Source organism: Homo sapiens, chromosome 2 (assembly GCF_000001405.40).
Source record: "Homo sapiens chromosome 2, GRCh38.p14 Primary Assembly".
Lineage (NCBI taxonomy): Eukaryota > Metazoa > Chordata > Mammalia > Primates > Hominidae > Homo > Homo sapiens.
Window position 1 is genome coordinate 138,531,009 of NC_000002.12, and position 22,837 is coordinate 138,553,845.

At 37.0% G+C, this 22,837-nt stretch overlaps 1 protein-coding gene across 3 annotated transcripts in view; it reads left to right on the forward strand.

The window, feature by feature from the left end:
* SPOPL (speckle type BTB/POZ protein like) overlaps positions 1 to 22,837 on the forward strand; it is a 71,778-nt gene that overhangs the window by 29,239 nt on the left and 19,702 nt on the right. The window contains exons 2-5 of one of the 3 annotated variants that reach the window (NM_001001664.3): positions 19,149 to 19,286; positions 19,475 to 19,596; positions 19,895 to 20,046; positions 21,546 to 21,673. In NM_001001664.3, coding sequence (NP_001001664.1) covers positions 19,209 to 19,286; positions 19,475 to 19,596; positions 19,895 to 20,046; positions 21,546 to 21,673 — 480 coding nt within the window. In that variant the 5' untranslated portion in view covers positions 19,149 to 19,208. Of the gene's footprint in view, positions 1 to 19,148; positions 19,287 to 19,474; positions 19,597 to 19,894; positions 20,047 to 21,545; positions 21,674 to 22,837 lie in introns of those variants that run through there. The other 2 variants (XM_047444116.1, XM_047444115.1) reach the window with 2 other exon arrangements.

Consider the following 22,837-nt stretch of genomic DNA (forward strand, 5'->3'; position numbering starts at 1 on the left):
AATGGGTACTGAATTTTATCAAATGCTTTTTCTGCAACTATCAAAGTGATCTTTTCCCTCCTTTTTCTGTTAATGGGCTAAATTACATTAATAAATTCTGATTTTGATCTAGTCTAACGGAGTATTTGGGCTTATGTATAAATGTAATTATAAATAATATAATTATATACTTATTTACAATCTTTCCCTTTTTCTCTCCTTTTAAAAATCTATTTTATTTTTAGTTATGCTGTCTTTTCTTGTAGTGGTTACTGTAGAGATTACAGTATACTTCATGGAGTTACTTGAGCTACTGCCAATCATTATTTTTACCCCACTTCCCCAAGAATGCTAAAACCTTAGAATACCTTTTTCCCCATGAAGAACACTTTTTACTCCATTTATCCCTCATGGTTTTTACATTACTGTTGGCATGCATTTTAATTCTACTTATATTTAAGCCCCAAGATATTACAATTTTTCGTTGGCCAGTTTTGGAAAATTCTTACTTACCTCTTCAAATATTGCTTCTCTCTTTTTCTTCTGTGACTCCACTAAGTAGGTGTTAGACTCTTGCACTGTGTCTCACGTTTGCCTTAGGCTCTTTGTAATACCTATATTTTTTTCTCTGGTTTAGTGAAAATACCTTCATTGATCTTTTAAAAAGTTTTCTAGTCTTACCTTTTGCTGTTTAGTCTATTCAACTTATATTAAGTAGTAATTTCAGTTGTTTTCCAGTTCTAGAATTTCCATTTGATTCTTTTAAAATTAAATTATTGGTAAAACTCTGTTGCCTGTTGGGTTTTTTTTTCCTCCTAGCTTTTATTCATAAGCGTCTGTTTTTTGGCAGCCTGATAATTTTTTATTGAATAACTGTCATTGTAAAAATTGTAAAGGCTCCAGATGATAATCTTTTAGACAGGATTTATTTTTTCTTTTCTTAGACATGTTAGTGTGGGAGCTGATAACTTTTATCCAATCAGGGACTAAAGTGAATCAAGACTGTTTTAAGGCTATTTGTACATTTGATTTGTCTTCATACAGTCTAGTTTTACTTTACAGGCATTTCAATTTAGAGTCTTAAATTCTTGGGACACTGTCTCTGGCAAATCTCAACTCTAATCCTTGTCTTGTTTGCAGTATAAGACGTCTGAAAACTTTGCCTCTTGGCTTCCTGCTGCATGCAAAGTCAGCATTTGGCAGAAGTCTTAAAGAGCACCTCACCAGGATCTTAGCCCCTTGGATATCCTGTTTTATCTCCAGCGCCGTAAGGCCAACAGAATCTTTGCTGATAGTTTCACCCCATGGCAGTGGCTCTGTCTGGGTAAAGTGTGGATTCTCGCTCTTGCATTATGCTTAGAATCTGCAAATATTCTTGGGGAGAAAAGTGGCTGTAGTCTGTCAGCCCAATTTATTTATTTATTTTTGTTCGCTTTTTTTTTTTTTTTTTTTTTTTTGAGATAGAATCTCGCTCTGTCGCTCAGGCTAGAGTGCAGTGGCACGATCTTGGCTCACTGCAAGCTCTGCCTCCCGGGTTCACACCATTCTCCTGCATCAGCCTCCCGAGTAGCTGGGACTACAGGCGCCTACCACCACGCCCGGCTAATTTTTTTTTTTTTTTTTTTTTTGTATTTTTAGTAGAGACGGGGTTTCACCGTGTTAGCCAGGATGGTCTCGATCTCCTGACCTCGTGATCTGCCCGCCTCGGCCTCCCAAAGTGCTGGGATTACAGGCATGAGCCACAGCTCTGGGCCTTGTTTTCGTTTTTTACTTCTGTAATGACTTGAAATGTCAGCCCACCTTTAGGTTGTTCTCCCTTCTCTAGAATCTTGTGACCTTTTGTCCTGATTGCTTGAGCAGCTCTAGATACCTTTAAACATACTTATTTTTATTCAAGTTTTTCTATTTCTCAGCAGAATTTAGTTTACCTGCTAGTTACTCCATTATCCCCAGAAGCAGAACATCCCATGGTAGCCTCTAAGTACTTTTTATATACATTAATTGTTTTGATCATTACCAGGCTTATCTCCCCTGCCCATCTGTACCATCAACTGTCACCAGTAAAGTTTTACTTACTGTTTCTACTCCAGTACTCACTTTGTGCTAAGGGTGTGTATATGTATAAAATTTCCTATTATCCACTCAGCAACCATAGGGCAATGAGGTGCTATAATAATTTAATAAACAAAGGAGAGGCCCAGTATCTATAAGATCACAGAATTCATGGCAAAGCACTGATTCACATTGGTCTCAGTATATAGCTCTTGTTATTAAAGTCTATGCTATTGTTTGTGGTCTTTCTATAATCTTGTTTGCTTCCTATAGAATACAGCTCAGGGAATATCTTCAGGACATTTTCTGTGTCCTGAAGTGCTTCATTATCACTGTTACAGTACTCTCTCATATTATCATATTCAAAATATCTCCGTGTCTGTATCCTCTACTATGTTATAGTTTTTGCCAAGAGTAGGGAATGTGTTTTATTTATCTTCATACCCCAGGTTTCGTTAGAGTGCATGATATATCTAAGCATATAATAAATGTTCATTGTATTTCCCTAAAGTCATCGTATACTTAATTTGAATAGATTTAAGAAATTTATATGTGTATTACTATTTTATCACCTTTATAAACACTTATTAGAATCTTAATTATTCTCCCTGGTACAGTCTTAGCAAAACTGTTGAACATTATATGTTATATATTATATTAACTCTTTTTCATCATATATATAAAGTTGTTTTGACCTCAGGCAGTATTTTGTTATAACATCCTGAAGCAGTTCAGAGGACTTTTAGCATAAATATGGTAGTATTTCAAAATTGTAATTTACCATTTGTTAATTGTAGAATTAATAAACAAAAATACTGTATGTATAATTAAACCACAATTGATTAAGCTACCTCCTAGAAGATGAATGAGCTGATTGCAGATGACAATGAAAGACGTAGCTCATAAACATCAGTCTCATTTTATAACTGGATAAAATTTTGATAATGCTCTTTAGACAGCATGATTTTTTTTAACCCTACTTTGCTGGATAATTTATATATTTTATTGGTCTAGAAGCTTGATAGCTAACACACTTGATATACTGCAAAATTGAAGACATTTTTTAAAGAAACAATAGTTTTTCCTTTGGGTGATTAAAAATAACGATTAGTACTTTATTCTCTAATAGTGGCTAATATAGACTCAATAGTTATAGAAGGTGTTTTATAGAGTTGACCCTCTGTATCCACCGATTCTGCATCTGAGGATTCAACCAACTGTGGATCAAAAATATATGGGAAAAAAAATTAACAATACAACAATTTAAAAAATCTAATAAAACAGCACAGTATAACAACTATTTACATAGCATTTACATTGTATTAGGTGTTAAGTAATCTAGAGATGATCTAAAGATACCAGAGGATATGTGTATATCAAATGCAGATATTATACCATTTTGTATAAGGGACTGGAACATCTGTGAATTTTGGTATCCATGGGAGTCCTGGAATCAGTCTCCCATGGAAACAAAGGGACAACTTTGATTACTTTTTAATCACAAAAGAAATGTGTATATATGTGCATATGGACTTCTATGTGCAGGTATTTTTTTTAAATGAGGCAAAATTCATATAACATAAAATCTATCATTTTTACTTTTTTAAAAAGTACAGTTCCGTAATGGCTTAGTACATTGACAGTGTTGTGCAACTAGCACCTCTGTCTAGTTCCAGAACACTTTTATCAGTCCCAGAGGAAACTCCATAACCAATTACTTACCATTTCCCCCTCCCCACAGGTCTGGCAACTACTAATCTGCTTTTTGTATGTATGGATCTGCCCAATATTTAAAACAAGTGAAATGATACAATGTGGCCTTTTGTGCCTATCTTCTTTCACTTAGCATAATGTTTTCAAGATTCATTCATGTTGTAACATGCATCAATACTTTATTTATTTTTATGACTACATATTATTTCATTGTGTGACCAGGCTTAATGGCTCACACCTGTAATCTCAGCACTTTGGGAGGCTGAGCTGGAAGGATCTCTTGAGCCCAGGAGTTCAGGACCAAACTGAGCAACAGTGAGATCTTGTGTCTATAAGAAATAAAATTACCCAGGTGTGGGCAGTGAGCTGTGATTGCATCACTGTATTTCAGCCTGAGTGGCAGAGCAAGACACTGTTTAAAAAAAGGAAAATTCATTGTGTACATGTACCACATTTTAAAAATTCATTTATTGCTTGATGAACATTTGGATTGTCCATCAATGAATGGATTATTAGCTAGTAACCTTTTGGCTATTGTGAATACTGCAGCAAAGAACATTTATGTTTCAGTCATTTGAACACCTGTTTCCAGTTCTTTTGGATATATACCTAGGAGTAGAATAGCTGGATCATGTGGTAATTCTATGTTTAATTTTTTGAGGAATCCTTAAACTGTTTTCCACAGCGGTTAAACCATTATACATCTCCACAAGCAATGTCCAAGGATTCCAGTTTCTCTACATCCTCGTCAATGCAGGTGATTCCCCACTCCTTTTTTTTTTTTTAATAGCCATTCTAGTAGCTTTTTTTTTTTTTTTTTTGGTCTTTTTCAGCATTTTTACTGTGATCCATGTGTTTGTGGGTTTCTTTGCATTTAACCTACTTGGAGTTGATTGAGCTCCTTAAATGTGTATATTATTGCTTTTCAATAAATTTGAGAAGTTTTCAGCCATTTTTTTTAGTTATCTTTTTCTGCTGCTTCTGTCTTTCTTCTCCTTCTGATACTCCCATTATATACATGTCAGTGTGCTTAAAATAATGTCCTACAGTTCTCTGAAGATGTTCATTTTTCTTCATATTTTTCTGTCTGGATTGTATAATCTCTACTGATTTGTCTGTAAGTTCACTAATTCTTCTATTTGTTCATATCTACTGTTGACCTCCTCTAGTGAATTTTCATTTCAGTTATATGGTTCAGCTCCAGAATTTTTATTTGGTTCTTTTAAAAAAAATAACCTTTACCTTTTTGTTGACATTCTTTATTTTTTTTGTGTGACATTGTCATCATACCTTCCTCTAATTATGATTTCCTTTAGTTCTTTACACATACTTATTAATGGCTATTTGGAATGCTTTGTCTGTTAAATCCAACATGTAAGTTTAATCACAGTTTCTGTTATCTGTTTTTTTCCCCAGCATATGGGTCATACTTTCTGTTTTTTCATGCCTCGTAATTTTCTATTCAAAGCTGGATATTTTATGTAGTAAATTGAGAAATTCTTGGAACTGGTTTCTTCCTTCCAGTGCATGCTGTTGCTTCTTGCTTATTTTGTTTATGGACTGTTTTAGTGGAGTCTATTTAGTGCCCCCCCCCCACACACACACACACGCACACAGTGTTAAGCCTCTGATGTTGCACCTCTGGGGAAGCAGCCTTGGGTATTCCCAGTTACCCTGGGTGATGGTGGTTTGGCAGGGCTTTCTTTTTGCCTGACTACTCACATCTGTTAAGGTCCATTAATCTAGTGCTAATTGCACTGTTTTCAACAATGCCCTGGGGCATTATGTTGTTCTGCAGACTCATCAACTTTGGTTTCCTTTGAAGAAATAGTTCCCTAAGTCAGTGCCTGAAATTTCTTCCGAATCCAGGTGGGCTCCTCTCAGCTGTGTCTTTTCCTGTTTTTTTTTGGGCAAATCAGCTGTCCTGTAGTTTAGCCTTTGTATCCATTGATTCCTCCAGTCTCTTCTCATTTGCCTCTCACAGCCTCTACTGTTTTTCAGATCATGCTTGCCTGTTTCCTTGCAAATGAACTTCTTTTCTCTGGGAAGAGATTAAAAGCAGTCTGCTTTATGGTCCACTTCTTTCCACAGGCAAACATCTCCAAGCCCAGGCTCTGGAGTAAGGAGGAAGGAACAATGGTATTTCTTTCCCAGTGTATCTCTACTGTAGGAGCTGTGCTGGAGGGAGGCAGTAGCCTCAGTTCTTCTTATCTTCACGCTCTTTGTATGGAACCCACAGTTTACAAGCCAAGACAGCAGTGATTGGTACCCTGACAGCACCATGCCCAAAGTAGAGCCTCCACCTTTCCGGCAGTGACAGATTTGAAGAAGGGAGCCAGCCCCTTACCTCTTGGTTTCATTCACCTGTAACATCAGCATTAAGTAGCTAGAGGTGTAGCAGCATGAGCCAAACAAACAAACAAAACCCCTCAGACACCGAGTTGAGGAAGGAAAGGACTTTATTCGGCTGGGAGCATCGGCAGACTTACATCTCAAACAACCGAGCTCCCTGAGTGAGCAATTTCTGTCCCTTTTAAGGGCTTATGACTCTTAAGGGTGTCCACGTGAGAGGGTCATGATCGATTGAGCAAGCAGGGGATACATGATTGGGGGCTGCATGCACCGGTAATCAGAACGGAACAGAACAGTACGGGGATTTTCACAATGCTTTTCCATACAGTGTCTGGAATCTATAGATAACACAAGCAGTTCAGTCATGGGTTGATTTTTAACTACCAGGCCCAGGGCGTGGCATCGGGCTGTCTGCCTGTGGATTTCATTTCTGCCTTTTAGTTTTTACTTCTTTTTTCTTTGGAGGCAGAAATTGGGCACAAGACAATATGAAGGGTGGTCTTCTCCCTTAGAGGCAGGATGAGAAATGTTGACATCCTTCCTGTCACAGGAGGACATTGACTGGACCTGTTGGAAGAGGGAACACAGTGCTTATGGCTACACCAGTCTAGAGTGGAGTTTCTGACTCCTTGAGTTAGGACAGAGCAGCTCCTGGTTCAAAGACCACAGACTCTCACTTTTCTCATAGTCTCTACTAAATTTTCTTGAATAAATGTTTCTTCATTTGTTCTGTGCTTCCAGCAGTGTTTTTATATTTTTCACCAAATTTTCTGGGGAGTATGTCCATGGAACTCCTCAAGTTGTCACGCTGAAAGTTTTTTTCATTAGTGGTTCAGTCTCTGCTGGTTATGGGGGTCTGTTCACATTTTCGGTTTCCTCTTGAGTCAGTTTTGGTAGTTCCACATTTGTGAATTTTAAAATTTTTTCTTCTGTTACTGATTTATAGTTTCATTCAACTGCAATCAGAGAGGATACTTTGTATAATTTAAATTTTTTTAAATTCGTCGAGACTTGTTTTGTGGCCTCGGTAGCATATGGTCTGTCCTTGAGAACATTCCATATGCACTTGAGAAGAATGTGTGTTCCACTGTTGATGAGTGAAATGGCTGTTAGGTCTAGTTATTTTATACTGCTGTTCAAGTCTTCTATCTCTTTATTGATCTTCCTCGTTCTCTGCATCATTGAATGTTGGGTATTTCTGTCTCCAGCTATTATTGTAGAATTGTCTATTCTCTCTTTAATTCTGTTAGTTTTTGCTTGATATCGTTTGGGGCTCTATTATTTGGTGTATATATGTTTGTACTTGTCATACCTTCTTGATGAATTGACCCTTTTATCAATAGATAATATCCTTTGTCTCTCATAACAATTTTTGACTTAAAGTCTGTTTTGTCTTATGGTAGCATAGCCACCCAGCTCTCTTCTGCATGAAATACCTTTTTTCATCCTTTCACTTTCAACCTATTTTTGATTTCCATACACAAGAACCCTTAAAAATATTCTTCCAGTCTTTTCACATTGCCTATCTGTTGGATCACTTCTTCAGTGCTTAGCCAGGCCATTTGCAACTCTGCCTTAGTCTTCACTTCCTGTTGGCTCAGCAATGTCAGCCAGCTTAGGACCTTCTTAGCTGTTTTCTTTTTTTTTTTTCTTTTTATTATACTTTAAGTTTTAGGGTTCATGTGCACAACGTGCAGGTTAGTTACATATGTATATATGTGCCATGTTGGTGTGCTGCACCCATTAACTCATCATTTAACATTAGGAATATCTCCTAATACTATCCCTCCCCACTCTCCCCACCCCACAACAGACCCCGGTGTGTGATGTTCCCCTTCCTGTGTTCGTGTGTTCTCATTGTTCAATTTTCCACCTATGAGTGAGAACATGCGGTGTTTGGTTTTTTGTCCTTGCGATAGTTTGCTGAGAATGACGGTTTCCAGCTTCATCCATGTCCCTACAAAGGACATGAACTCATCATTTCTTATGGCTGCATAGTATTCCATGTTGTATATGTGCCACATTCTCTTAATCCAGTCTATCATTGTTGGACATTTGGGTTGGTTCCAAGTCTTTGCTATTGTGAATAGTGCTGCAATAAACATATGTGTGCATGTGTCTTTATAGCAGCATGATTTATAATCCTTTGGGTATATACCCAGTAATGGGATGGCTGGGTCAAATGGTATTTCTAGTTCAAGATCCCTAAGGAATCGCCACACTGACTTCCACAATGGTTGAACTAGTTTACAGTCCCACCAACAGTGTAAAAGTGTTCCTATTTCTCCACATCCTCTCCAGCACCTGTTGTTTCCTGACTTTTTAATGATCGCCATTCTAACTGGTGTGAGATGGTATCTCATTGTGGTTTTGATTTGCATTTCTCTGATGGCCAGTGATGATGAGCATTTTTTCATGTGTCTGTTGGCTGCATAAATGTCTTCTTTTGAGAACTGTTGGTTCATATCCTTCAGCCACTTTTTGATGGGGTTGTTTGTTTTTTTCTTGTAAATTTGTTTGAGTTCTTTGTAGATTCTGAATATTAGCCCTTTGTCAGATGAGTAGATTGCAAACATTTTCTCCCATTCTGTAGGTTGCCTGTTCACTCTGATGGTAGTTTCTTTTGCTGTCCAGAAGCTCTTTAGTTTAATTAGATCCCATTTGTCAATTTTGTCTTTGTTGCCATTGCTTTTGGTGTTTTAGACATAAAGTCCTTGCCCATGCGTATGTCCTGAACGGTATTGCCTAGGTTTTCTTCTAGGGTTTTTATGGTTTTAGGTCTAATAAGTCTTTAATCCATCTTGAATTAATTTTTGTATAAGGTGTAAGGAAAGGATCTAGTTTCAGCTTTCTACATATGGCTAGCCAGTTTTCCCAGCACCATTTATTAAATAGGGAATCCTGTCCCCATTTCTTGTTTTTGTCAGATTTGTCAAAGATCAGATGGTTGTAGATACGCGGCATTCTTTCTGAGGGCTCTGTTCTGTTCCGTTGGTCTATATCTCTGTTTTGTTACCAGTACCATGCTGTTTTGGTTACTGTAGCCTTGTAATATAGTTTGAAGTCAGGTAGAGTGATGCCTCCAGGTTTGTTCTTTTGGCTTAGGATTGACTTGGCAATGCAGGCTCTTTTTTGGTTCCATATGAACTTGAAAGTAGTTTTTTCCAATTCTGTGAAGAAAGTCATTGGTAGCTTGATGGGGATGGCATTGAATCTATAAATTACCTTTGGCAGTATGGCCATTTTCACGATACTGATTCTTCCTACCCATGAGCATGGAATGTTCTTCCATTTGTTTGTATCCTCTTTTATTTCATTGAGCAGTGGTTTGTAGTTCTCCTTGAAGAGGTCCTTCACATCTCTTGTAAGTTGGATTCCTAGGTATTTTATTCTCTTTGAAGCAATTATAAATGGGAGTTCACTCATGATTTGGTTCTCTGTCTGTTATTGGTGTATAAGAATGCTTGTGATTTTTGCACATTGATTTTGTATCCTGAGACTTTGCTGAAGTTGCTTATCAGCTTAAGGAGATTTGGGGCTGAGACAATGGGGTTTTCTAGATATACAATCATGTCATCTGCAAACAGGGACAATTTGACTTCCTCTTTTCCTAATTGGATACCCTTTATTTCCTTCTCCTGCCTGATTGCCCTGGCCAGAACTTCCAACACTATGTTGAATAGGAGTGGTGAGGGAGGCCATCCCTGTCTTGTGCCAGTTTTCAAAGGGAATGCTTCCAGTTTTTGGCCATTCAGTATGATATTGGCTGTGGGTTTGTCATAGATAGCTCTTATTATTTTGAGATACTTCCCATCAATACCTAATTTATTGAGAATTTTTAGCATGAAGGGTTGTTGAATTTTGTCAAAGGCCTTTTCTGCATCTATTGAGATAATCATATGGTTTTTTTCATTGTTTCTGTTTATATGCTGGATTACGTTTATTGATTTGCATATGTTGAAGCAGCTTTGCAACCCAGGGATGAAGCCCACTTGTTCATCATGGATACGCTTCTTGATGTGCTGCTGGATTCAGTTTGCCAGTATTTTATTGAGGATTTTTGCATCAATGTTCATCAGGGATAGTGGTCTAAAATTCTCTTTTTTTGTTGTGTCTCTGCCAGGCTTTGGTATCAGGATGATGCTGGCCTCATAAAATGAGTTAGGGAGGATTCCCTCTTTTTCTATTGATTGGAGTAGTTTCAGAAGGAATGGTACCAGCTCCTCCTTGTACCTCTGGTAGAATTCAGCTGTGAATCCATCTGGTCCTGCACTTTTTTTGGTTGGTAAGCTATTAATTAATGCCTCAATTTCAGAGCCTGTTATTGGTCTATTCAGAGATTCAACTTCTTCCTGGTTTAGTCTTGGGAGGGTGTATGTGTTGAGGAATTCATCCATTTCTTCTAGATTTTCTAGTTTATTTGCATAGAGGTGTTTATAGTCTCTGATGGTAGTTTGTATTTCTGTGGGATCGGTGGTGATATCCCCTTTATCATTTTTTATTGTGTCTATTTGATTCTTCTCTCTTCTTTATTAGTCTTGCTAGCGGTCTATCAATTTTGTTGATCTTTTCAAAAAACCAGCTCCTGGATTCATTGATTTTTTTGAAGGGATTTTTGTGTCTCTATTTCCTTCAGTTCTGCTCTGATCTTAGATATTTCTTGCCTTCTGCTAGCTTTTGAATGTGTTTGCTCTTGCTTTTCTAGTTCTTTTAATTGTGATATTAGTGTGTCAATTTTAGATCTTTCCTGCTTTCTCTTGTGGGCATTTAGTGCTATAAGTTTCCCTCTACACACTGCTTTGAATGCATCCCAGAGATTCTGGTATGTTGTGTCTTTGTTCTCGTTGGTTTCAAAGAACATCCTTATTTCTGCCTTCATTTCGTTATGTACCCAGTAGTCATTAAGGAGCAGGTTGTTCAGTTTCCATGTAATTGAGTGGTTTTGAGTGAGTTTCTTAATCCTGAGTTCTACTTTGATTGCACTGTGGTCTGAGAGAGTTTGTTATAATTTCTGTTCTTTTACATATGCTGAAGAGTGCTTTACTTCCAACTAAGTGGTCAATTTTGGAATAAATGTGGTGTGCTGCTGAAAAAAATGTATGTTCTGTTGATTTGGGGTGGAGAGTTCTGTAGATGTCTATTAGGTCTGCTTGGTGCAGAGCTGAGTTCAATTCCAGGATATCCTTGTTAACTTTGTGTCTCGTTGATCTGTCTAATGTTGACAGTGGGGTGTTAAAGTCTCCCATTATTATTGTGTGGGAGTCTAAGTCTCTTTGTAGGTCTGTAAGGACTTGCTTTATGAATCTGGGTGCTCCTGTATTGGGTGCATATATATTTAGGATAGTTAGCTGTTCTTGTTGAATTGGTCCCTTTACCATTATGTAATGGCCTTTTTTGTCTCTTTTGATCTTTGTTGGTTTAAAGTCTGTTTTATCAGAGACTAGGATTGCAATCCCTGCCTTTTTTTGTTTTCCATTTGCTTAATAGATCTTCCTCCATCCCTTTATTTTGAGCCTATGTGTGTCTCTGCCTGTGAGATGGGTTTCCTGAATACAGCACACTGATGGGTCTTGACTCTTTATCCAGTTTGCCAGTCTGTGTCTTTTAATTGGAGCATTTAGCCCATTTACATTTAAGGTTAATGTTGTTATGTGTGAATTTAATCCTGTCATTATGATGTTAGCTGGTTATTTTGCTCTTTAGTTGATGCAGTTTCTTCCTAGCCTCGATGGTCTTTACAGTTTGGCATGTTTGTGCAGTGGCTGGTACCGGTTGTTCCTTTCCATGTTTAGCGCTTCCTTCAGGAGCTCTTTTAGGGCAAGCCTGGTGGTGACAGAATCTCTCAGCATTTGCTTGTCTGTAAAGGATGTTATTTATCCTTCACTTACGAAGCTTAGCTTGGCTGGATGTGAAATTCTGGGTTGAAAATTCTTTTCTTTAATAATGTTGAATATTGGCCCCCACTTTCTTCTGGCTTGTAGAGTTTCTGCCGAGAGATCAGCTGTTAGTCTGACGGGCTTCCCTTTGTGGGTAACCTGACCTTTCTCTCTGGCTGCCTTAACATTTTTTCCTTCATTTCAACTTTGGTGAATCTGACAGTTATGTGTCTTGGAGTTGCTCTTCTCGAGGAGTATCTTTGTGGCATTCTCTGTATTTCCTGAATTTGAATGTTGGCCTGCCTTGCTAGATTGGGGAAGTTCTCCTGGATAATATCCTGCAGAGTGTTTTCCCACTTGGTTCCATTCTCCCCATCACTTTCAGGTACACCAATCAGACATAGATTTGGTCTTTTCACATAGTCCCATATTTCTTGGAGGCTTTGTTCATTTCTTTTTATTCTTTTTTCTCTAAGCTTCTCTTCTCACTTCACTTCATTCATTTCATCTTCCATCACTGATACCCTTTCTTTCAGTTGGTCGCATTGGCTACTGAGGCTTGTGCATTCATCACGGAGTTCTCGTGTCTTGGTTTTCAGCTCCATCAGGTCCTTTAAGGACTTCTCTGCATTGGTTATTCTAGTTAGCCATTCGTCTAATTTTTTTTCAAGGTTTTTAACTTCTTTGCCATGGGTTTGAACTTCCTCCTTTAGCTTGGAGTAGTTTGATCGTCTGAAGCCTTCTTCTCTCAACTCGTCAAAGTCATTCTCCATCCAGCTTTGTTCTGTTGCTAGTGAGGAGCTGCGTTCCTTTGGAGGAGGAGAGGCGCTCTGATTTTTAGAGTTTCCAGTTTTTCTGCTCTGTTTTTTCCCCATCTTTGTGGTTTTATCTACCTTTGGTCTTTGATGATGGTGACTTACAGATGGGTTTTTGGCGTGGATGTCCTTCCTGTGTTAGTTTTCCTTCTAACAGTCAGGACCCTCAGCTGCAGGTCTGTTGGAGTTTGCTGGAGGTCCACTCCAGACCCTGTTTGCCTGGGTATCAGCAGTGGAGGCTGCAGAACAGCGGATATTGGTGAACAGCAGATGTTGCTGCCTAATCGTTCCTCTGGAAGTTTTGTCTCAGAGGAGTACCCGGCCTTGTGAGGTGTCAGTCTGCCCCTACTGGGGGGTGTCTCCCAGTTAGGCTACTCGGGGGTCAGGGACCCACTTGAGGTGGCAGTCTGTCTGTTCTCAGATGTCCAGCTGCGTGCTGGGAGAACCACTGCTCTCTTCAAGGCTGTCAGACAGGGACATTTAAGTCTGCAGAGGATTCTGCTGCCTTTTGTTTGTCTTAGCCCTGCCCCCACAGGTGGAGTCTACAGAGGCAAACAGGCCTCCTTGAGCTGCGGTGGGCTCCACCCAGTTCGAGCTTCCAGGCCGCTTTGTTTAGCTACTCAAGCCTGGGTAGCAGTGGGCGCTCCTCCCCCAGCCTCGCTGCCGCCTTGCAGTTTGATCTCAGACTGCTGTGTTAGCAATGAGCGAGGCTCCCTGGGCGTTAAGACCCTCCGAGCCAGGTGCGGCACATAATTTCCTGGTGTGCCGTTTGCTAAGACCATTGGAAAAGCACAGTATTAGGGTGGGAGTGACCCGATTTTCCAGGTGCCCTCTGTCACCCCTTTCTTTGACTAGGAAAGGGAATTCCCTGACCCCTTGTGCTTCCCGGGTGAGGTGATGCCTCGCTCTGCTTCGGCTCATGCTCGGTGCGCTGCACCCACTGTCCTGCACCCACTTTCCGACACTCCCCAGTGAGATAAACCCAGTACCTCAGTTGGAAATGGAAAAATCACCCATCTTCTGCGTCGCTCACACTGGGAGCTGTAGACTGGAGCTGTTCCTATTCAGCCATCTTGGCTCCACCCCCCACCTGTTTTCAAGCATGTGTTTGCCCCTGGGCATACCCATAGCTTTCTAGATTTCCTGGAATATGTGGGAGCTTTTCAAAGCTTTTATTCCCCAGCTTCTTCCTTCCCACGGTTTTTTGCCTGGTCATTGCTTGTGCCAGCTCTGATTCCTTCTCTAGGTGGCTATAACTAATACATTTGCCTCTTAATGCTTTTGATAAATGCCATATCCCAGAATGCTGTCCCCTACCTCAGGGAAGCTCCAAGGCAGGTGAAACTGGCCCTTCAGTCAGTCCTTCAGGGAATTGCCAGACTGGTCAAAGTACATTACAATATGTTTTAGAATAAGGTCCATCTTGCTCTCTTTGGTACCAGCACCGTATACCAGGAATGAAGGCAAGTGACTTTATATCAGCATCCTGTATCAGGAATGAGGGCTGATGACTTGGGCGGACCACCAAACTAGGGGAGGGAGCCGTAGTAAGCAGGTTTGTTAAAATGCCACAGCCCTTTCTCACTGAAATTCAGTAGCTTGTTTCTTCATTAAGCATTCCCTTAGCTGTTAAGTTTTGTTTTTGTTTTTTTTTTTGAGACAGAGTCTTGCTCTGTCGCCCAGGCTGGAGTGCAGTGGCGTGATCTCAGCTCACTGCAAACTCTGCCTCCCGGGTTCACGCCATTCTCCTGCCTCAGCCTCCCGAGTAGCTGGGACTATAGGCGCCTGCCATCACACCCGGCTAATTTTTTTTTTTGTATTTTTTAGCACAGACAGGGTTTCACCGTGTTAGCCAGGATGGTCTCGATCTTCTGACCTCATGATCCGCCCACCTCGGCCTCCCAAAGTGCTGGGATTACAGGCGTGAGCCACCGCGCCCGGCCAGCTGTTAAGTTTTTGATTCAGTTCCAGAGTTTCAAACAAGCTGATTCTGACCATTTCACCAGCTATTCATTTCTTTTGTGGACGGATGGAGTTTTGGAGCTCTCTACTATTTTGTGACATCTATGTGTATATACATTTTTACATATCTACGAATTTCTACCTATATAGTTTAGTGATTCATAGATATTTTTAAAGAATGTCAAGAAATTTATTGGTATGATAATCAACAATTCAGGATACAGGTTACTTCTGGTAAAGAGAGGAAACATGATGGTGGTAGGGACACACCAGGATGGTGGGTACATGATTGTTTGACATGTGATTCTTTTTTTGTTTTCTGAATATTTGAGATTTTTATATAAAATTAGATAGTTGTGTGTGTCTATATGACATATATAAAACATTGTGACATTGAAGCATTTTGTTGAAGTAGAAAGTCTTGTGTATGTTTATTTGAATAACAAATCTTGCTTTCCCTTTAATAAGTAAAAGTAGGAAATATCACACTTGAAATGCTTAAGACTAGTTTATATGATGGAATAGGGGAGAATCTTTTACTTATTTGTTGATGTATATAGATTGATTGTCTTGTGTTTTTCTCTAGATCTTAGTTTCATTGTACCCTCTCTGCAACCTTTTTCTGTAAGAATGAGAATAGGAAGGCCTGAATGTTAGTAGGTAGTTGATAGTCTGCTGTTTTTATTTTCATTTTTCTTCTTATGAAGAGGAAGAAAAAAATAGAATCCTGGAAATAGCACTGAAGTGGACTTTGGGAGATCTTTGTCTTTGTTCTTTGTTCTAATATTCATTCAACAGTGTAAATTTGGACAGTTATTATTTTCTGTGCCAGTCCTCATTTGTAAAATAAGAATTGGAACAATAGGTAAGGCCTGTTTAAGTTTTGTAAAATATGGAAGGGCAGCATGATTCTATGGAAAGAGCATTGACTTTGGAGCCAGGCAAATTTGTGTTCATCTATTTTCTAATTACTTTAAAGTAAGCTTTCTAAACGCTTTTCTCATCATTAAGATGGTGTATTAACACCCATCTCACAGAGCTACTGAAGAATGAACAACATATATAATATCTTGTAAAGTGCTCACACATACAGTCTGTTCACTCAGATTCTCCATACCTTTATCTTGTAACTACATCCTTTGAAGTAAAGCTGGAGAGAAAAACAAAGAAATCCTTGTAATCTTTTATGTAGCTTGCTTTTATTTTTTTTATTTTATTTTATTTTTGAGATGGAGTCTCACTCTGTTGCCCAGGCTGGAGTGCAGTGGTGCGATCTTGCCTCACTGCAGCCTCCACCTCCCAGATTGAAACAATTCTCCTGCCTCAGCCTCCGGAGTAGCTGGCATTATAGGCGCCCGCCCCCATGCCTGGCTTATTTTTGTATTTTTAGTAGAGACAGGGTTTCACCATGTTTGCCAGACTGGTCTTGAACTCCTGGGCTCAAGTGATCCGCTTGCCTCAGCCTCCCAAAGTGCTGGGATTACAGGCGTGAGCCACCGTGCCTGACTGTAGTTTGCTTTTATATATGAATTACATTTGAAGTGTATATGAAGTATATTTTTATATATGAGGTCTGTTGTGAGTTATACTTCAGGAAGATAATAACTCTTCTAGAGATATTGAAGAACTTTCTCTTTACCCTCCAGGGTTTCTAAAAGTTTTTTATTTATGTTTTTTGTTAGTATTAAATTATAATAGTATCTTTTTATAAAAGCTTAAAGATTCAGGTTAATGTTTTCTTTGATTTCTTTCAATTTACCTTCTACCCCAGGATCTATTACTTAAACAGTAACATAGACACAAGATCTTACGTATTTTCTGTAGTCCATATGAGTTTGAAAATAACCATGTTTTCCACTTTTAAAAATAATTACTTATATTTCTGTATTAATTAAAACATAACACATTTATGAAATATGAATAAATAAAAATAAGAAAAAAATCTCATCAGCCAGAGATAACCTTTTAATATTTAGATGTATTTGACGTTATCACTGAAATGCCAAAGTGCAACTCAGTGCCTCCACCTGCCAGTCTGTTTTTCTTTATGCACCAGTACCTCTATATACTATTTATATTTATAAAAGCAATGTCTTGTTAGGCATACTGTTTGATTTTTTTTAGATATATAACATATCCTGAACACTTTTCCCTGTCATTAAGAAAATTTAATACACTCTTAATGGTTGCACATTTTCCATGTATTAATAGTGCAGAAATATACTGTGCTCAGAATTATCTTTTTCACAGTTATAATCATTTTCCTAGGATGTATTTACAGGATGAATCTGACAAAATTTCTTTTGATACTAATTATAAAATTGATCTATAGCAAAGCCTTATCCCCAGTATAGTGATGTCTGCTTCTCTGCAATTTTGCTGGCTGTAGGGTTTGACGGTTTAAAATAATCTTGGACAGTGCAATAGGTAGAAAACGTTATGGGTTCTTTTTCTATTTCATTGATTACAAGTGAAGGTAAACTTTTTTTTTTTTTTTTTTTTGGTAATCATTCTTCTGTGAAATGCTTGCTCATCTCATCATTTTTGTGTGTGTGTGAATGTTTTTGAAATCAATGCAAGTTGCCAGAAAACATATAAATGCTTTCATGGACATCAAATAACACCATCTGCATTTTTATACTTTTAGAAATTGGTAGCTTGTATTTTAGCGTCATTCCCTTCTTGCCAGAAATCTCACTATGAAATAATAAGGGAGATTATTATACTATTTATATTCCCACAAGAAAAGTATGAGAGTGCCTCTCCTCTTACACTCTCACTCATCTTTTGGATTTTTCCTAGTTTGATAGGTAAAAAGTGGCTTTTTAATTTAGTTTTAATTTTTATTTTTCTAATTATAAGTTTCTTTCCTGTGAGTTATTTGCTTATTTTCTTATTTGTAAAAATTCTTCATATATTAAGAAAATTAGTTATATGTGCTATATACATTTCAGATAGTTTTCTTTGTTTACTGTTTTTGAAATTGGTCATAATGGTTTATTTTGTCAGGTTTTTTTACAGTCACTGGCAAAAGTATTGACCAGGACACATCCCTCTCATATATTACTAGAGATTTTTCTAACAGATAAGTCTAATAATCATTACTCTTTCAGTACATTTATTTAATTAACTATGAATTTGCCTAAAATAAATATTCAACTTTTGTTTCTGCTCCTGTTTCTACTCCCAAGTCTGTAGAAAACAATAGTGGTCTGTCTTGGAGAATGTTCCACATGCACTTGAAAATAATGTGTGTTCTACTGTTGATGGGTGAAATGGCTGTTAGGTCTAGCTAGTTGTTTTACACTGCTGTTCAAGTCTCCTATTTCTTTTTTTATTTTCCTGGTTCTGTGCATTATTGAATGTTGGGTATTGCTGTCTCCAACTATTATTGTAGAATTGTCTATTCTGCCTTCAATTCTGTTAGTTTTTGCTAGATATAGTTTGGGGCTCTATTATGTGGTGTATATATGTTTATACTTGTCATACCTTCTTGATGAATTGACCCTTTTATCAATATATAATATCCTTTATCTCTCATAACAATTTTTGTCTTAAAGTCTTGTTTTGTCTGTGGTAGCATAGGGTTCTGCAGACTTCAGTATATATATTGTCATGTAATCTTGAAACCCTCTTACACCTCCAGAGTGCACTACTTATGTAGCTTATTCTGATTGTGCCTCTTTTAGTAAGTTACAAAGCAGCAGCATCTGGTCACTAATATCCTGGTTAGGTTATGAAGAGGTAATTATGCATACCATTGGATACAGTACAAGAACAGCTACCTGGGAGGAAATTTTATGACATAGTACGTCTCGGCAAGAAGCACTCTGTTAGGGATGAAGTCTTATCAGAGAACCTGTTGTCTGAGATAGACGTGGAGTTTTGTAGAAAGTCTGTATTTCTTCTTACAGAGTATTCATTGCCTGTTACATTCCATTCTATGTTTTACTTGACGAAAACTTCTGGAGTCTGACAGATGGGTAACTAGTATTTATAGTTCTAACTTTGCAAACCTTTTGGTTTTCATGACTATGTCAATAAAAAGGTGAAGGAGGATGAACCAGATATTAACTGATGTCATTATGTTTCCATGATATTTTGTGATTTTATGTATATGCTCTTAAAACTATATGTTATTTTAAAATTTGTGATTTTTTGGAGAACATGCCTTTACAAAATAATCTTATCTATAAATACTAAGTTTGTTTAGATTTCAAGTGTCACATGTTACAAAAACTTACTTCTTAAAATCATTAAATTTATCTAAAATTCTCACATGTTCCTTCATAATCTAGTTTGGGATAGTAATTGTTTCATGTCTGTTTAAATATGTCTTCCCTCTTGATTCTGTCGTTTAAACTTTTTAATCAGTACATCAAACTTCTTTCCTTTGTAGGTAAGGTACTCAACTGTGTGGGGTACTACATAAATCCTGAAAGACTACAATAAAGTGGTGATGTCTCGGGAACCCACCCCACCTCTACCTGGAGATATGTCTACTGGTCCCATAGCAGAAAGCTGGTGTTACACACAGGTACATGCTCTTAAAAATCCCTCACTTTATGTCACTTATAAATTTTACAGTATGTTGAGAATAGTATTGTGAAACACTTTGCCATAGTTATTAGAAGTGTTAGAAGACTGGATCGTAGGATGTTGAACATGTAACAAGTTAAAAGTATTACCGTCATCATTATAAAAGTGGTTTTCTGAATCTCTTAGGTTAAAGTAGTAAAATTTTCCTATATGTGGACCATTAATAACTTCAGTTTTTGTCGAGAGGAAATGGGTGAAGTGTTAAAAAGTTCAACATTTTCATCTGGCCCAAGTGACAAAATGAAATGGTAAGATTTTTGTTTGCTTTGAATTTTTGTTTTTTGTTTTTGATGTGATCATCAGCTGCTCATGATTTTGTTATCATTTTTCCTGAATGAGTATTAATGTAATTTCATATTAGATTGGTAGTATGTTCCTAATAGTGTGGGGAATTATAAAGAACTGTGAGGATGTTGACAGGAGTGCTGTTTGTGACATTAACACATGATTTCAGTGTTCTCTCTCTCTCTTTCTCTCTCTCTCTCTCTCTCTCGAATGCTTTTCAAGTATTATATTCCTCCATGTGAGCTTATTGTTTTATTTTAGGTGCCTGAGGGTAAACCCAAAGGGATTAGATGATGAAAGTAAAGACTACTTGTCCTTATATTTGCTTTTAGTCAGCTGCCCCAAAAGTGAAGTTCGAGCAAAATTCAAATTTTCCCTTCTGAATGCTAAAAGGGAAGAAACAAAAGCAATGGGTAAGTGATTTGCAAACTAAGTGAAGACATTTCTGTATAACTACATATTATGACTTCTTCTGCACCTTTACCTAGAAAAGTCTGGGACTTTTTTCTGCTAAAATCTGCTTAACCTGAAACTTTTAATTTGACCATTATTTAAATCCAGCATAGAGCTATAATTATTTTACTGAGTCTTAGACTTCGTAAAACATGTAAAAATGATTAATAATATTACTTCTTCATGTCCTAAAATGACATCCAGTTGTCACTTAGAAAAATAGTTGCTGTTAGGGCAAGGTGCCTGGTTCAGTGCTTGGCATATATAATACGTGCTCAGGAAGCATTTCTCTCTTGCCTTTTTTTGCCAGGTAATAAAATCTGAAGAACAATGAGAAAGAGATAGAGTGCCCTGATACTTTGTCACTAGAGTTTTTTGAGCAGTAGATTGAACACTGACTGAAAGGAGCCATTTTTCTTAGTTTCAGGGCCTATTAATTTCAGTCCAAAATTCACATATATAGCCAGCTGAAATGCAGTAGCCTGAGCTTCATAATAGAAGAGTGATGTAGGAAATGTACGTTGTGTGTGGCAGGAGAATAATATTTTCTAGAAATGAATCGCAGAATCAAGTAACTTGATTACAGAAAATTCACATTCACATACATTTTTAAATAATGTATTGCTAAAATAATATATATTTTCACATTGTCTCACCTTAAGATAGTGGAGTATTTCAGGTAGATTGATTACTAATTTTCCACTTCCATTTTATTCTTTGTATAATAGATAATGAATACTTTCTGTAGAGGATCTTGTTTACTGCCTAGTATATAGTTGTTATAGACTACCTTAGGCATTTGAAATATTTGCTTCAGATGTTTATTAAATCTATTACAAATTACACAAAAAGCATCTTTTGGACTTTTATGAAAAATTCTTTTTAGGGGAGAGGAGGTTATGTCTAGAGACTTAGGAATGATAAAGGACTTTCTTTATCTTTTTCACAGGTTCATGGATTTTTCTATAGTTGAATAAAAAATCGGTGGGATGGGTATGTCAGGAAAGCTTAAACATGCCTTGATATTTAGAACATCCATTTTTGAAGGGAGAAGCAGGAAATAAGATGTATGTTTCTTACCAGATTCTGATATTAGATGATTAGTGTGCCTATACCAACATATTTTGATCCTATTTCATTGTCTTTTAGGGCCAATCTTAGATTGTTAAAAAGATCTCTTCCTTCTCCATGTGATTTGATCTGACTTTTCTATTTGAGATCCAGAAGTCTGAAATTGAGCTCATTGACAATGGCCAAAATTGAGTAGGCATATGGAGTTACTGTTTCTACCTGACTTAAAACTCTTATGACATTTGATTTATAAACACAAATATCGGTAACTTTTATGATGGATGTATTGACAAGTCCTGTTTTCACACATTTTATTTAACTGTGTTACCATGTTTAAAAAGTCTCTTGGATATTTATTTTATTTAAACTCTATTCTGTTTTCCACCAGAAAGCCAAAGAGCATATCGATTTGTGCAAGGGAAGGACTGGGGTTTTAAAAAATTCATTAGAAGGGACTTTTTGCTTGATGAAGCTAATGGTCTTTTACCAGATGACAAGCTTACATTATTTTGTGAGGTGGGTACATCTTTTATTCTAAGAACCCCATGGTTTATTTAGTGATATGGCAAAAGTATAAACTGGATTAATAACACTTTAAAATTAAGTAATTGGTATAGTTGATTGAGTTTCATTTGTAAATTCTTGACTAGAAAAAGCTTAGAAAATTCTTGACACAAATCAGTGTAATGACCCAGTCTGGAAACACTCTGTCATATTTCTAGCTATAATTTGTGTGTACACTTATACTACAACATACTACATCCTTCTTCCTCTTGAAAAGATTGTGAATGTGAATATGTGAACATTCCTAAATATTTTCTTCATTCTGAGTAACTGACATAGATTGTCAATTTTTAAAAAATTTTCAGATTGATTGTATTAAACATTATTACTGAGAATTTATCAGTTTGAACCCGAAGTACCTGGAAAACATTGAGAAGCTTTCTGATTGTTCAGGCGGTTGGATTAATCTAATTAAATAGCATTCTAAGAAATAGTTCTCAGATTTTTAAGATATGCCCGTGTCTATTGACAAACTTATAAGGTGTAATTATGTGCATAGAATGGGATATTTTGAAAGTTACTAGCATTGCCTCTGCCAATAATGTACACTTATGATTTGTCCTAATTTGATGTTTGGATTTGCTTTTGTCATGTTATCATTAGGTAGTTTTATCTATATGAATTTTTGAGATTCACCTTTGGACTGAATTCAAGGATTATATTTTTAACCTGTACAGTTTATAGAGAATATACATCAGTAACAATTTTATCAAAATGTTTAAGGCAGTTGATAATTTTCATAAGAAAGATAGTTGAAAAGATTTTTATCATGTACTCAACATTAGATATATTTCAACAGATTATCATGGACAGATGAGTGTCTTAGGAATATAATAACTTCTTAACTATAAGCTGTAATCTTTTTATAGTAAGTGTATAAGATTTCTTGGCAAGATTACAAACTAATTGTATGACATTATGTCAGAAGAATAATTGAAATATGCCTCCAGAGACTATATAATTGCATCTTATTTTTTACTTAGACAAGTTAAATGAACTGTATGATGAATTTATTATGAATACAATTATTTGGTTGACAAACACATAGCACAAGTCTTATCATTAAATAACTGGGAAGAAAACAGTATTTGTTGCTGATCAGCAGATATTCTAAGT